The 14,853-nt window shown below is 46.4% G+C and overlaps 1 long non-coding RNA gene across 1 annotated transcript in view, besides 3 other annotated features; it reads left to right on the top strand.

Moving 5' to 3' along the window:
• SMAD3-DT (SMAD3 divergent transcript) overlaps nucleotides 1–14,853 on the top strand; it is a 79,976-nt gene that overhangs the window by 32,120 nt on the left and 33,003 nt on the right. The gene's annotated exons all lie outside the window — the stretch shown is intronic.
• Nucleotides 1,232–1,888: an enhancer, noted in NCBI's record as "OCT4-NANOG-H3K27ac-H3K4me1 hESC enhancer chr15:67322513-67323169 (GRCh37/hg19 assembly coordinates)". NCBI's record gives its function as "activates a minimal SCP1, AML or CMV promoter by ChIP-STARR-seq in primed H9 embryonic stem cells {active_cell/tissue: H9 hESC(primed)}" and the evidence as "EXISTENCE:reporter gene assay evidence [ECO:0000049][PMID:30033119]".
• Nucleotides 6,098–6,392: an enhancer, noted in NCBI's record as "tiled region #4683; HepG2 Activating non-DNase unmatched - State 19:H4K20". NCBI's record gives its function as "activates a minimal TATA promoter and a strong SV40 promoter by Sharpr-MPRA in HepG2 cells {active_cell/tissue: HepG2}" and the evidence as "EXISTENCE:reporter gene assay evidence [ECO:0000049][PMID:27701403]".
• Nucleotides 12,698–12,867: an enhancer, noted in NCBI's record as "experimental_40591 CRE fragment used in MPRA reporter constructs". NCBI's record gives its function as "activates a minimal promoter by MPRAs in K562 erythroleukemia cells, with activity observed for the introgressed 15:67311619 variant allele {active_cell/tissue: K562}" and the evidence as "EXISTENCE:reporter gene assay evidence [ECO:0000049][PMID:34662402]".

Below are 14,853 nucleotides of genomic sequence, written 5' to 3'. Positions count from 1 at the left end.
AGAGTTGCCATGAGCTGACATAGGGAAAGGTGAGGGTGACGCAGGTTAGGGTAGTAGAGCGGGAAGATCAGGAGTTCCATTTTGGACATGTTTTGTTGGTGGTGCCTATTGGACATCCAAGTGGATGTGCCTCGAAGGCAGTGGGATGTGTGATTTGGAGTTTGGAAGAGAGGTATGATTGGAGAGAGAAATTTGAGATCTCTTGGTATAGATGATGTTCGAAGCCTTGGGACTGGGTGAGATGACCTAGGGTTTCAAATGTTGTGTATACCGAGGGCTCCTAAATGCTTCTCTCCCACTAGACCTCTGTCTTGAACTCTAAACTCTTACATCCAACTGCCTTCTTCAGTTCTATAGTATACTCTAGAGGAATCAAAAAACCAGAAAGAGATCTGGTATCCTCATTGTTTCCCCTGGAGAGGTCATAGTTTTTTGTCTTAGAATATAAGAGCTGGAAATGATCCAAGTGGCCATCTGGTCAACCTCTTCAGTTTTTACAAATAAGGAAACTGAGTTCCAAGAGAGGAAGTGACTTGCTTAAGGTCCAATTTGGAATTAAACATCAGGGCTCCAGGTGCTGTCCACAATGTCACAGCTGCCTTTCTGAAAGTAAAAAGAGCAGTGCTCAACTCAAACAGGGGTCTGAACTCATTGTTCTCCTGTCTGAAATCCTTCAGTGCCTCCCTGTCATCTCCTTGTGATGAAGTCCAAGTTCCTTAGGAGGATAGGTACGTACTTGCTACCTTCACCAACTGCATTTCTGCTACTCCCAGGGATCCGCCCATACCAAATGACCAGTGAGTTTCCTGAAGAAGCCCTGGTATTCCACGCCTCCAGACCTTCGCACAGACTCTCATCTCTGCCTAAATACCTTTCCACTATCCCTGTCTGTTCCTACTCACCCTTCAAGTTTCAGCTTAGATGTTTCATCCTTCAAGAAATAGTCCCTAAAAGCCTCCCCTCAATCTGGACCAAGTACTGCTCCTCAGAGTCTCTGTTGATACCCTGTTACCATGTTTTGTCTATTTTTTTTAGCTTTTGTACATCTCCAGGGCTGGGTAGAGGGTAGAGTTAATGGTTCAAAGGGGATGATGAAGTAAACCACACGTGGTAGTGTTTCAGGATGAAACCAGAAAAGATGAAGCTCCCACCTCAGCGCACCCCCAGAGAGGACTTTTTGACTAATTGTCTTGGAATCAGGCAGGCCTGGGCTCAAGTTCCAGCTCAGCTAGTTCTTAGCTGTGTGACCCACGATTCTGTACCTGTAAAAAGAGTTAATAAAAAGATCTACTTTGAGGGATCATTGTGAGAATTTGTTGAGAGCAATCTTGGATCAGGGTAAAGCTTAAAGGATGATAGATGTATTGCTGTTATTCGTGCTCAGCCCTCTTTCCTTTGGAAACACACACACGCACAGACACACACACACACACACACACATCACGTGCACATTGTAGAGTGGACATAATGGGGGAACCCAGCAGGTGATCACCAGAAAAGAAAGGGGTCAGCAGGTGGGAAGGCCAGGCTTTGTCTGCAGAAGGCCTGAGTTAACTAGCATTTCCTCCAAAGGGCAGCAATGTTACTTTCAAGCACACAGCCTGAACACAACTAGCAAAGCTTTGACAAGCAGAGCTTGGAGAACTGGCTTTAGGAAGAGGTGACCTTGATTTCCCAGGAAGGCCTCAACTGTAAATAAACAGCTGCTTCCAAAGTGCCCTTTCCCTCCCACTTTCTGTGCTCTGCCTGTCTCCTCCCCTCTATCTCCACCTTTCACTCTTCCACATCACACCCTGCGCATGTCTTATCCTTTGGCTCCCTGGAATGCTTCCTGTTATCTTGCCCTGTTGGAGGCCTGAGTTGTCATTAAGGCTGACAGAGGGGCACCCATGGCGGGGAGGGCTTTGGCTTCCAGGAGAGAAGCCTGTAACTGTGGAAAGGAGGCCCCATGAGAGGCCCATTTGGAGTCTTCCCACACTCTCCCCTTCCCACACCCAGCCATCTGCTCAGACACCTGCTGAGTGCACCTGTGAACTCTAGTGTTCTCCCTGCTCTAATTGGGCATCTCCCGAATTGAGCTCATCTTTAACACTGGTCATCTCTAGCGGGGCTTTGGCTTCCAGTGGTATCTCCTGGGCAATAGCCCTGGCCCAGATCCCACTTCTGTCTCATTAATCTTAACTGAGAACTGACAGCTTCTGAGGAGTCCCACCTTCACTGCCAGCCCCAGGTAGGATGGGTCTGCCACCGCCAGTCTGCAGGGCTCAGTGCAGCCTCTTCTGTGAAGGCTTCTCCATACTTTTGAGTCCTTGCTGAATCCCTGTCTTTGAACTCTAAAGCCTTGCCCTTCTCTGTCATAAGAACGATCTGTAGTCATCAATTGAGTCCTCAGTTACAGACTTGAGAAATCAAACCGTTTTTGCATAGTGTAGTGAATAAGAAGGCATTCTTTATAGTCACCAAATTCTGATTCTGCTGAGGAATTTAGGGCAAATGACTTCACCTCTCTGGGCCTCAGTTTCTGCATCTGTAAAATGGGCTACGGGGCAGGGCGCGGTGGCTCATGCCTGTAATCCCAGCACTTTGGGAGGCTGAGGCGGGTGGATCACAAGTTCAGGAGTTCAAGACCAGCCTGGCCAGGATGGTGAAACTATGTCTCTACTAAAAATACAAAAAAATTAGCCCGGCATGGTGGTGGATGCCTGTAATCCCAGCTACTCAGGAGGCTGAGGCAGGAGAATCACTTGAACCTGGGAGGAGAAGGTTGCAGTGAGCCAAGATCGCGCCACTACACTCCAGCCTAGGCGACAGAGCGAGACTCCATCTCAAAAAAAAAAAAAAAAAAAACAAAAAAAGAAAGGCTACGAATAACCATTTTTATGGGGCTACTTATGAGGATTAAATAGGTTATTGCACCACATACCTTGCTGACAGCCTGCCACATAATAAGTGATCAATAAATGGCAGCGTTGTTATTATTTAGAGGGGCACAGATTAAACATGTGCATTCTAGGAACAGATAACTTGCTTTAAAAGTGTTTCATTACTTACCCTCTTTGGGATCTTGGGCAAACTTAACCTTTGTAAGCCTTGGTGTCCTTATCTGTGAAATAAAACTAATAATGTCTATTTTTTCCTTTCCAACTTTTAGGTTCAAGGGATATATGTGCAGGTTTGTTACATAGGTAAATTGCATGTCATAGGGGTTTGGTGTAATTTTATCACCCAAGTAATCAGCATGGTACCTGATAGGTAGTTTTTCAGTCCTCACCCTCCTCCCACCCTTTACTCTCAAGTAGGCCCTGGTGTCTATCATTCTCTTCTTTGTGTCCCTGTGTACTCAATGTTTAGCTCCTACTTATAAGTGAGAATATGTGGTATTTGGTTTACTGTTCCTGCATTAATTCACTTAGGATAATCGACATGATTTCATTCTTTTTTATGGCTGCATAGTATTCCATGGTGTGTATGTACCACATTTTCTTTATTCAGTCCACCACTGATGGGCCTCTAGGTTGATTCCATGTCTTTGCTGTTGTGAATACTGCCGAGATAAACATATGTGTGCATGTGTCTTTATAATAGAACGATTTATATTCCTTTGGGAATATACCTAGAAATGGGATTGCTGGGTCAAATGGTAGTTCTATTTTTAGTTATTTGAGAAATCTCCAGACTGCTTTCCACTGAAAGCAGCTAAACTAATTTACATTCCCACTTTCAGTGCATAAGAGTTCACTTTTCTCTGCAATCTTGCCAGCATCTGCTATTTTTTGATGTTGTAGTAATAGCCATTCTGAAAATGTCTATTTTTAAAGTTGAAGAAACTGAGGCACGGATAGATTAAGTGACTTGCCCCAGCTATGCTAGGACACAAATGGTAGGTATCAAATACAGGAAATGAAGGCTCTAGGGGCTGCTCACTTGACCACTATTGCAGAATGATATGAGTGACACATAATGACACACTCCCCAAAACAGGAGAGTGGAGAGAGATGAGCCATCATTTCTGCTGGGGGTGTGGGAGGAGACAGAGAAAGTTTTAAACAGAAGGTGAAAACTACCCTAGTCCTGGAAAGATAGTGAATGCGGCTAAGCTTGAAATGAGGTTAGAACGTCATCCTAGATGGTTGCATAACAATGCACATGTAGTTAATGTCATAAAACTGCATACTTAAAAAGGGTCAAAATGGTAAAAGTCATTATTTATTTATTTATTTATTTATTTTGAGATGGAGTTTCGCTCTGTCGCCCAGGCTGGAGTGCAGTGGTGCAATCTCAGCTCACTGCAAGCTCCACCTCCCGGGTTCACACCATTCTCCTGCCTCAGCCTCCTGAGTGACTGGGACTACAGGCACCCACCACCATGCCCGGCTAATTTTCATATTTGTAGTAGATACAGGGTTTCACCATGTTAGCCAGGATGGTCTCAATCTCCTGACCTCGTGATCTGCCCGCCTCAGCCTCCCAAAGTGCTCCTGCGCCTGGTTGGGTAATAAGTCATTTTTAAAAAAATTGTTTAATGAAAAAAAAATTAACTTACATTTTTCTTAAAAGTAACAATTTAATGATATGTATTTTCTGTGAACATTCAAGAAATAGAAATCACCAAGAAAAAAATAAATAAAATAATTTGTTATTCTGCCATTCAGATCTAAACAATGTTATTTTGGTGCTTAAATCTTCAGAGGTTTTTTCATATATTCACTTCAAATATTATTTACCAACAATGGAAGTTTATTTATTTATTTATGTTTGTTTGTTTTTTTTGAGACATAGTCTCACTCTGTGGCCCAGGCTGGAGTGCAATGGCGTGATCTCTGCTCACTGCAACCTCTGCCTCCCAGGTTCAAGCAATTTTCCTGCCTTAGTCTCTCGAGTAGCTGGGATTACAGGTGCCTACCATCATGCCCAGCTAATTTTTATATTTTTAGTAGAGACAGGGTTTCGCCGTGTTGGCCAGGCTGGTCTCGAACTCCTGGCCGCAAGCAATCTGCCTGCCTCGGCCTCCCAAACTGCTGGGATTACAGACGTGAGCCACTGTGCCCAGCCTGTATTTGTATATATGCAGTTTTGTAACTTACTTCTTCCACTTACAAAATGATAAATTTTCCATGTCATTAAGTTTAAAAAAAGAAAAAAAAAAGGGCAAGTCATATCAGGTAGGAGGACTGGCATGAGCAAAGGCATAGAGGTACGATAATGCAAAGGAATTCTGGAAAAAGTGAGGCGCCCAGAGCAGCTGGAGCACAAATTGCAAGGAAGAATGTAGTGGGAAGTGTCAACCCTGACAGTGGCCAAAACAAAAAGGGAAACACAGAAAGGACAAGAGTTCTGTTTATTACAAAGGAGTTAAGAAAGAGCACATGTTGGCCAGGCGCGGTGGATCACACATTAATCCCAACACTTTGGGAGGCTGAGGTGGGCAGATCACCTGAGGTCAGGAGTTCAAGACCAGCCTTGCCAACATGGGGAAACACCACCTCTACCAAAATATACAAAAATTAGCTGGGCGTGGTGACGTGTGCCTGTAGTCCCAGCTACTGGGGAGGCTGAGGGGGAGGATTGTTTGAACCCGAGAGGTGGAGATTACAGTGAGCTGAGATTGTGCCACTACACTCCAGCCTGGGCAACAGAGTAAGACCCTGTCTCAAAAAAAAAAAAAAAATACATGCTCTAAAGCCTGACTCCCAGAACGTGAGCCCTTGCTCTGCCAGTTACTAGCTATGTTGCTTTGGCAAATGAGTTAACCTCTTTATCATTCAGTTCCTCTATTTGTAAAACAGGAACAATCATAGTGCCTACTTCATAGGGTTGTTGTGAGAATTAAATGAGCTAATAATGTAAAGCACTTAGAGACTGGCATGTTGTAAACTCTGAATGAAAGTTATAAATTATTTTTATCAATGTTTTTTCCTGGCTGAATTCTAAGTTGAATTTATCTTGAGCATCTGTATGCAAAGAGCTCTGAGTAACATAAGGGATAGTTTTCTCAATAAATGTGATAGTAACCGTGGCTGCATTCTCAGTAAGGCTGTGTCTTAACGTCTCCTGGAAGGAAGCCAAGGTCAGAAAGGGGCTCTGTGAGAGAGCTAGTGCTCATGTCCAGGCCCAGGGCTTCCTAACTGCCTGGCATGTGCCAGGAGGGTGTGTGCAAAAGGCCAGGAAAGGAAGGACTTTCACTCCCTTCCCGCTTGCCCTCTCTCTCCCTGGTCAGGCCATCCTTTCAGCCTGGCTGTCGGCCTGAGCCATTTCCTGTTTCCTGAACATTTATCTTCTGCACATTCATGCTTTTTTCTCATATTGTCCCCCGGCCTGGAATACCTCTTTCTTCCAGAATCCTACTGGCAAACTTCTCCTTGTCTTTCAAAACTCACTTCAAGAATAACCATTCCTTCCTCTGGCATTCCCAGACTCTCCAAGTTCTCCTCTGCTTGGAGGACTCTGTACCTCCCTCTCTTCTGTGATGTGTGATGGTGATAATGGTGATGAAGATAATGGTGATGGTAGCAATGAAAATAGTGGCAGCTTACCCTGACAGACCACTTACCAGGCACTAGGGTAAGTGCTTTGCAAGCACTGTTCCAATTAATTTTTACAGCAATCCTATAAGGAATTGCTATTTGTATACTAATTTTATAGAAAAGGAAACAGGAGCATAGAATGAGTGGTTAAAGAACTTGCTCAAGCCACACAGCTGAGAGTAAAAGAACTAGGATTTGTACACAGAGAGTCTGTTTTCAGAACTAGCACCCACAACCGTTATGCCTAGCTGCTTCCCTGTGTTATTTTTACTGTTTCTACTGTTAGGATTATTACTGCTTGATGATGGGTTTCTCTCCTTTGTCCTTACATTCTCAGGACCTGGCACCAGGCCTGACACCCAGCAGGCACAGAAGAAATACTTGCCACTATTCAGTCTGGCAGTTCGGTTCAGTTAAAACGAGTCAAGGCTCATTTCAAAGACCTCTTCTTCCATGCTGGCCCTCCTGATCACCCTGAGCAGATTTGAGGACTCCTTTCATGAGCCCCTGTGGCTTTGCTCTTCTCATTTAACTCTCACCCAATTTCATGAGGTGGGCATTGTTCCCACTTTATAGACAGAAAAACTGAGGTTCAGACCTGGTAAGGGTTCGTGGTGGGGTTTGACTCCATTCATTCTTCCCTTCACACTTTCCTTTTAGTGTCTCCCCTATCCTTGTATTTGCCACTCCCAAATCCTTAGCACAGAGCCTGGAGCACAGTAGGCCTGCATTAAATGTCTGCTAAATTGAAATGAACTGAATTAGGGTGTGGGTGGCCCAAGAAAAATGTGCCACGACTCAGGCATTTCAAGCAAAATGCATAGTTTCAAAACCCAAGCATGGAGGAGCCTGCTATTTTTGGATGGCCTTGCACAAATGTTGTGTGGGCTTCCTTTTTGCTACTAAATGTCATTGCATTACTTTCCTAGTTTCATTCTCCTGCCTGGGCTGGGGAGGATTATGCAAGCGGAGCCTGGGAATGAGTCATCTTTCCCTCAGCTGCCAAACTGTCCACGATTGCCATGATATGGTACAATCTTTTTTCTGCCTCAAGCTATTTGTGGGTGGTTTTGTTTAACTTTTACAGTCTTTCTTTCTTTCCTTCTAATTTTGCTTATCCTTGTCTTTTTCTTTGAGATGGGCCATAGGGTACTGACGGCCTTTAAAACTCTGGCCCCTCTGTGTCTGCAAGCACAAATCCATCTACCTGCTATGTAATCCACGTGGGGAAGAAAGCCCTTCTGGTGATGACATTGTGAGGTGCTGACCCATAAGGAAAGTGGGACAATCTTTCTAGGGTGGATGGAGGTTCCCTTCCACTGGGCCAGCTGCCACCACCCCTCCCCCAAGCCTGCTGGGAAATTCTGGGAAGCCCAGAATTGGGCTTCCACACCCCACACTACAGCCATGCCCTTCACACTCCTACCTGGGTCTGTTTCCTGGATTTGTTGAGGCTGGTCTCTTCACTTCCAGTATGACCCTGTGGCCTTAGCCAGGGCAGCTCTGGGGCCAGCCCCCCGCCCCCACAGGAGGAGCCAGGCTGACCCAGCTGAGGGCTACACAGGAGGGAAAGGCCCAGTGCCCAAGGGGATGACAGGTGTGTGACAACGTGTGTGCTGCAGGCATAGTGCTGGGTGCCAGTAGAAAGAGTGACTTGCTCTCCAGCTGTGTAAGTGCTTCTAGCCTCAGGCTGATCGATCAGTGAACCAGGCCAAGGTTGGAGCTGTAGGTGAAACCAGTGGATCCACATGTGAGGGCTGCGGGAGGTGGAAACAGGGGCCGGTGCTGGGACCTTCCTAGATGAATAGCAGCTACAAGCAATGGCCAACCCATTGCTCAAATGGAGGCCTGTTGGGCACTCGGGACCTGAGTTCAGCAGGAATCATTGAGAGCATCTTGATAGTCTCTCATAACACTCACCATGTGTGCCATACTTGATAAATTTCCAGAGCACTTTCCATACATGCCCTCAAATGATGCTGGACAACAGGTGCCCAGCAATCCAGGTTCGAGAAGAGTCAGCCCTGCCTGCTCCTTTCCCAGCTCCAAGGCTCTGGTCTCCCCTTCGCAAGCAGGAGAAGAGTTGAGAACATTTGGAAACCACATGCAGGAGCACCGAGAGTCCTGGATTAGAAGGGAGAGGAGTTGGCCAGGCGTGGTGGCTCACCCCTGTAATCCCAGCACTTTCGGAGTCCGAGGCGGGCGGATCATGAGATCAAGAGATCGAGACTATCCTGGCCAACATGGTGAAACCCCGTCTCTACTAAAAATGCAAATATTAGCCAGGCGTGGTGGCGCACGCCTGTAGTCCCAGCTACTCAGAAGGCTGAGGCAGGAGAATCGCTTGAACCCGGGAAGCGGAGGTTGCAGTAAGCCGAGATCACGCCACTGCACTCTGCAGAGCGAGGCTCCATCTCAAAATAAATAAATAAGTAAAGGAGAGAAGTTCTGGCAGCTCATGCTGTGTGCCTATGGGAAACTCTCCTAACCCTTCTGAACCTCAGTTTCCCTGCCTTTAAAATGGTGGTAATAATATAATTGAGAAATGAGCTAACAGTGATTCATAAAACATTTGGTGTCACTCTTCCACATAAAACCCTCCAGTGACTTTCCATTTCAGTTGGAGAAAAACCCAAAGGGCTTGCAGCAGCCTGTGAAGTCCTGCATGATCTACCTCTACCCCCACTTCTCCTCTGATCTGATGTCATCCCTGGTCTTCCAAATACACCAGCATCATGCCCACCTCAGGGCCTTTGCACTGACTGTTTGCTTTGCCTTGGGCACTCTTTTCCCAGGTGTCAGTACAGCACCTCTCACCTCCCAGGTCTTCACTGAAACATCAGCTTTGAGTGAGGCTTTCCAAGAACTCTCTGAAATGGCAACACCTCTTCCCCACACACCCTGCCCCCTCCACTACTTAATTTTTCTCTATGGCTCTTAACACCCTCACAGAGTATATATCTTACTTACTTTATTTATTATCTGTCTCACTCCACTAAAATATTAGCTCCATGAGGGCAGGACTTTTTCTGTTTTGTTCTCTACTGTAACTCCAGTGCCTAGAATAGTGCCTGGAAACACATAGTAGATGCTCAATAAATATTCTCTGAATGAATGAAGTAGTAAATGAACAAAGGGGTCTTCAGTACTATTATTCTAGAGTGGAAGTAGCCAGCCCCCGTCCCAGCAACCTAACCCCATTAAGGCCAAGGTCCTGGGGTCTTCTGTGTGCCACAAGCTCCCAGGGAAACTTGCAACCTCTTCCATCTCACAGCTATTCTTTTTATTTTATTTATTTATTTATTTAGAGATGGAGTCTCTCTCTGTCGCCCAGGCTGCAGTGCAGTGGCGCGATCTCGGCTCACTGCATGCAACCTTTGCCTCCCACGTTCAAGTGGTTCTCCTGCCTTAGCCTCCCAAGTAGCTGGGATTACAGGCGCCTGCCACCAGGCCTGGCTAATTTTTGTACAGACAGGGTTTCACCATGTTGGCCAGGCTGGGACTCGAACTCCTGACCTCAGGTGATCCACCCACCTCGGCCTCCCAAAGTGCTGGGATTACAGGCATGAGCCACCGCACCTGGCCCTTCACAGCTATTCTTAAGCCCCAGTTTGATCAAACAGAGCGTCAGTACATCATGTGGTAGATGATTGTTCCTTGAACATCATGCTAATGGCTTGCTACTGACAAAATGGGCACAGAAGAATCAACTGGGATGGGAGAAGCTTCTTCAAGTGCCCAGTTTCCTAAAGGGAGGAACCATCAGTTTGGAAGAAATGGATCAATCTTTTATGACTGGCTGAGTTGGCAAGCTGTGTCACTCCTCTTCCTGTCTGTCTGTAGAATGGAAGAGCAGGTTTGGAGCAGGAATTTGCCTCACTCTGCTCCTTCAACTTCACTGTCAGGCACTTCAGAGCCTGCTGTGCTGCCACTAGGAGAATGCAGCCTGACCCCTCAGACTGCAAGAGTCCTAGGAGGGAGTTGCTGGGGAGGCTTGGTCAAGCTGATTGTTCCCTAAGTGATAGTGCATTTCAATCTCTGCCTTTGGGAGACTGACTTTTCCTTAAAATAAAAGGTTAGCTATTTTTTTTTTCATTACTTAACCCATGAAAGTGTTGGTTCTCCTTTTATACAAATTCTAGGATTTTTAATATTCTCCTTCTCTCTCCCTCTGCCTCCCCTCCCAACTCTACTACCTAAATAATTAAAGCATGTTTGGCAGCGGGCGGGGTGTGTTTTGGAAACCAATACACTTAGCCACAATGCTTTTTTATATACAGTACATGTGAAAAGTAAGGTAGGTATATTTGTAATTCAAAAATGTTTTAAAATGCTTTTCACCTCTTTTTTCCTTCTTACAAACTTTCCACTACTGTTATCTTTTTTTCTTTTGTTGAGTGTTTTAAAGAATTCCAAGTGGACTGTAAATTAGTTCAACCATTGTGGAAGTCAGTGTGGCGATTCTTCAAGGATCTAGAACTAGAAATACCATTTGACCCAGCCATCCCATTACTGGGTATATACATACCCAAAGGATTATAAATCATGCTGCTATAAAGACACATGTACACGTATGTTTATTGCAGCACTATTCACAATAGCAAAGACTTGGAACCAACCCAAATGTCCAACAATGATAGACTGGATTAAGGAAATGTGGCACATATACACCATGGAATACTATGCAGCCATAAAAAATGATGAGTTCATGTCCTTTGTAGGGACATGGATGAAGCTGGAAACCATCATTCTCAGCAAACTATTGCAAGGACAAAACACCAAACACCGCATGTTCTCACTCATAGGTGGGAATTGAACAATGAGAACACATGGACACAGGAAGGGGAACATCACACACTGGGACCTGTTGTGGGGTGGGGGGAGGGGGGAGGGACAGCATTAGGAGATATACCTAATGTTAAATGACGAGTTAATGGGTGCAGCACAGCAACATGGCACATGTATACATATGTAACAAACCTGCACGTTGTGCACATGTACCCTAGAACTTAAAGTATAATAATAAAAAAAAAAGAATTCCAAGTACAGATCAGGTATAACTAAAAGCTAGAAAAACAGAAATGTACCACTCTCCAGTGTTTGTTAGTGCCCTAGCTGGATGGGAAGCCAGCTGAGGCCACTCAGGCGGTCAGCATCAATAATGGGGTGAGCTGAGGCCACAGCACCAGCCAGAGGGTGGTCAGGGAGCCCAAACGTGGTCAAGAACAGCTGAGTTGGAGCAGCTTGGGACTCAGCTGCTGGTGGGGAAGAGCCCAGCCATGGAGTCTGGGGTTGAGTCTGGGTCAGAGTCTGCAGAGACTGACAAGGAAGCAAGCCCAGGGAGCGAGGAGGGGAGCTGCTAACTCCATCCAGGTGGAGGCTTGTGTGCCTTGTCCCTGTGGGTCTCAGAGGCACAGCTCAATCTAGAGTGAAGTGAAGCCTCCACAGTGAGATGGGGACTTCCTGATTCTGCCAAATGTGATGACAAGATGGAAATCTTCATGTATATCTGAATGCATTGGCAGTGAAGATCCGTGTCTTCGCTGTGCTGCAGTTAGCAGCAAAAAGGATACTTTCTTGAGTGCTTTATTGTATAACAAGAATGTTTCCAAGTACCTTTCACAAGTTATCTCATTTTTTTCTTTACAACAACCCTATGGGTAGATATAAATATCCAGCCCTTTAAAAGTGGAGAAAACCAAAGCCAGTGGAAAGTAGGTGAGTTGCTCCAGGTGGATCTGGGGTATGAAGCCAAGCTGTCTGACTTCATAGTAGGGTTTCTTAACCTTGGCGCTGATCACCTGTTGGGACAGGTCATCCTTTGTTGAGGACTCTCCTGTGCATTGTAGGATGTTTAGCAGCAGTCCTGGCCTCTACCCACTAGATGCCAGTGGCACCTCTCCCTGACTCAAGATGTGACAGCCATAGGTGTCTTCAGAAGTTGCCAAATATGCCCCTGTGGAGAACCACTGTTGAGAACCACCATGGTTGTTCACCGCTAAGCCCTGCCAAGCAGAGCTGGACTTGATGGCCTCAGACAGGATATTTTCAAGACATCTGGAAGGGAGACTCGAGAGTGCTGCTCATACCAGCTCTCCCAAGGAGATCTTCATTAGGGTCCTTGGCCTTTAGATTTAAAAATCCTATGTATCAGTCATCTAGAATCAATCTGGCCTGGGCAAACAAATTCATCCCAGCTCAGCTTGCCGGCCAGTTCCTTAAATCCAATTCTTGCTTATGTGTTACAGAGGAGAGGTGGAGATAGGTTTATTGACCGGCTGACCACACAGGACATTCATGGGCAGGTGACCAAAATCTATTGCAGTGGGAGAGCTTGGATGAGGAGCGAGATTTCTTTGCTATGTCTAGTCCTGAGTCCTGGGCTGGTTCCTGGTTTTTATTCATGAGATCTGTCAGGGGCTTGCCTTGTTCCTGCCTTGCTCTGTGTGCTGTTGTGCCCGTCTCATGGGCTCAGGGACCCTGTGTCAGCTGTCTTTTTTTTTTTTTTTTTGAGACAGAGTCTTACTCTGTCGCCCAGGCTAGAGTGCAGTGGCATGATCTCAGCTCGCTGCAACTTCCACCTCCCAGGTTCAAGCTATTCTCCTGCCTCAGCCTCCCGTGTAGCTGGGATTACAGGCTCGTGCCACCACACCTGGCTAATTTTTTGTATTTTTAGTAGAGACAGGGTTTCACCATGTTACCCAGGCTGGTCTTGAACTCCTGAGGTCAGGCAATCCGCCCGCCTCGGCCTCCCAAAGTGTTAGGATTACAGGCGTGAGCCACCGTGCCCGGCTAAAGGGAACTCAGCTGTCTTGAAATCAGCACCTAGAGATGCACCTAGGCCTGACCGAGGCAGGCACTGCAGGAAAGAGAACGAGCATTGCTAAGTGGCAGCTGCGGGATTTGGAGCAGCTGGAGGGAGCCCAAATGTGGTCAAGAACAGCTGAAACATGAAAATTAAGAATGCTAAGAGGTGCAATTCACAGAATGAGACTGAAGCTAACCAATTAATCTATAGACAAAACGAGAGGAGGGCAAAGGGGAGGGAGGCACCATGGGTAGCTCTGCAGTTGGTTTCAGTGCCTGGGAACACAGATGGAAGAAGGATGGGGTCCAGGGGAAGGCCTTGACGCCCCTTGATCCTTGCTGAGTTTGAAAGGACTGTGGGATGTCCAGGGGAAAGTCAGGTGGCCAGGCTGGAAGGTCCAGCAGAGCTCTAGGCCTGGGATGGACACTGGGGACCATCACTGTAAAGAGACAGGTTGATCTGGGAGAGCAGGTGAGGATGTGCAGAAGGAAGAGCTGCCAGGGGAAGGAGAAGCTTCTGTGTGGCTGAGAAGGAGCAGCTGGAGAGTAAGGAGGAAATCCAAGGGCAGGCAGTAACTGTTAAGCCAGAGAGTCTGCCAGAGGGCCAGTGAGATGAGGACTGAAGAGGACTCACTGTCATTAGCAGCAAGGAGGTGGGTGCTCAGGACATTATGGAGATCAAGTTTAAGTGGGTGCTGGGGGACAGAAGCCAGAGTACAGCAAGTGGAGAAGGATACACATCACCTTCAAGAAGCTTGGCTGTGAAGGAGAGAAGAGAGGGCTGGAGCTTGAGAGAAAGGTGGGCTCTGACTTTCTTTTATCTTTTTCTTTTCTTCTTTCTTTTTTTTTTTTGTTTTTTTTTTTAGACAGGGCCTCACTCTGTCACCCAGACTGGAGTGCAATGGTGTGATCTTAGCTCAGTGCAGCCTCGAATTCCTGGGCTCAAGTGATCCTCCTGCCTCAGCCTCCCAAAGTGCTGGGATTACAAGCATGCACAATCATGCCTGGCTAATTTTTAAATTTATTTTTATTTTCTATAGAGACAAGGTCCTTCTGTGTTTCCCAGGGGGGTCTTGAACTCTTGTGCTCAACCAATCCTCCCACCTTGGCCTCACAAAGTGCTGGGATTATAGGCATGAGCCACCACGCCCAGCCAGCTCTCACTTTCAAATTCCTATCATTTTGACCATCAGAGGAACTGGAAGATTGGGGAAGCCCCGAGACATTTCCCCACAAAACTGCCAAAGCCTGCTTCCTCCAGTGGTTGATTCCACTTCCTCTGCTTCCACGCCCACCATCTGTGCACCTCTTCTCCCAGCTGCATCTTTTCTTTTTTCTTTTTTTTGGAGATGGAGTTTTGCTATTGTTGCCCAGGCTGGAGTGCAATGGCACAGTCTTGGCTCACCGCAGCTTCTGCCTCCGGGGTTCAAGCAATTCTCCTGCCTCAGCCTCCCAAGTAGCTGGGATTACAGGTGCACACCACCATGCCCGGCTAATTTTTGTATTTATTATTATCATTATT

This window comes from Homo sapiens, chromosome 15, assembly GCF_000001405.40.
Source record: "Homo sapiens chromosome 15, GRCh38.p14 Primary Assembly".
Classification (NCBI taxonomy): Eukaryota; Metazoa; Chordata; class Mammalia; order Primates; family Hominidae; genus Homo; species Homo sapiens.
This window is presented reverse-complemented; position numbering and strand designations above follow the sequence as displayed.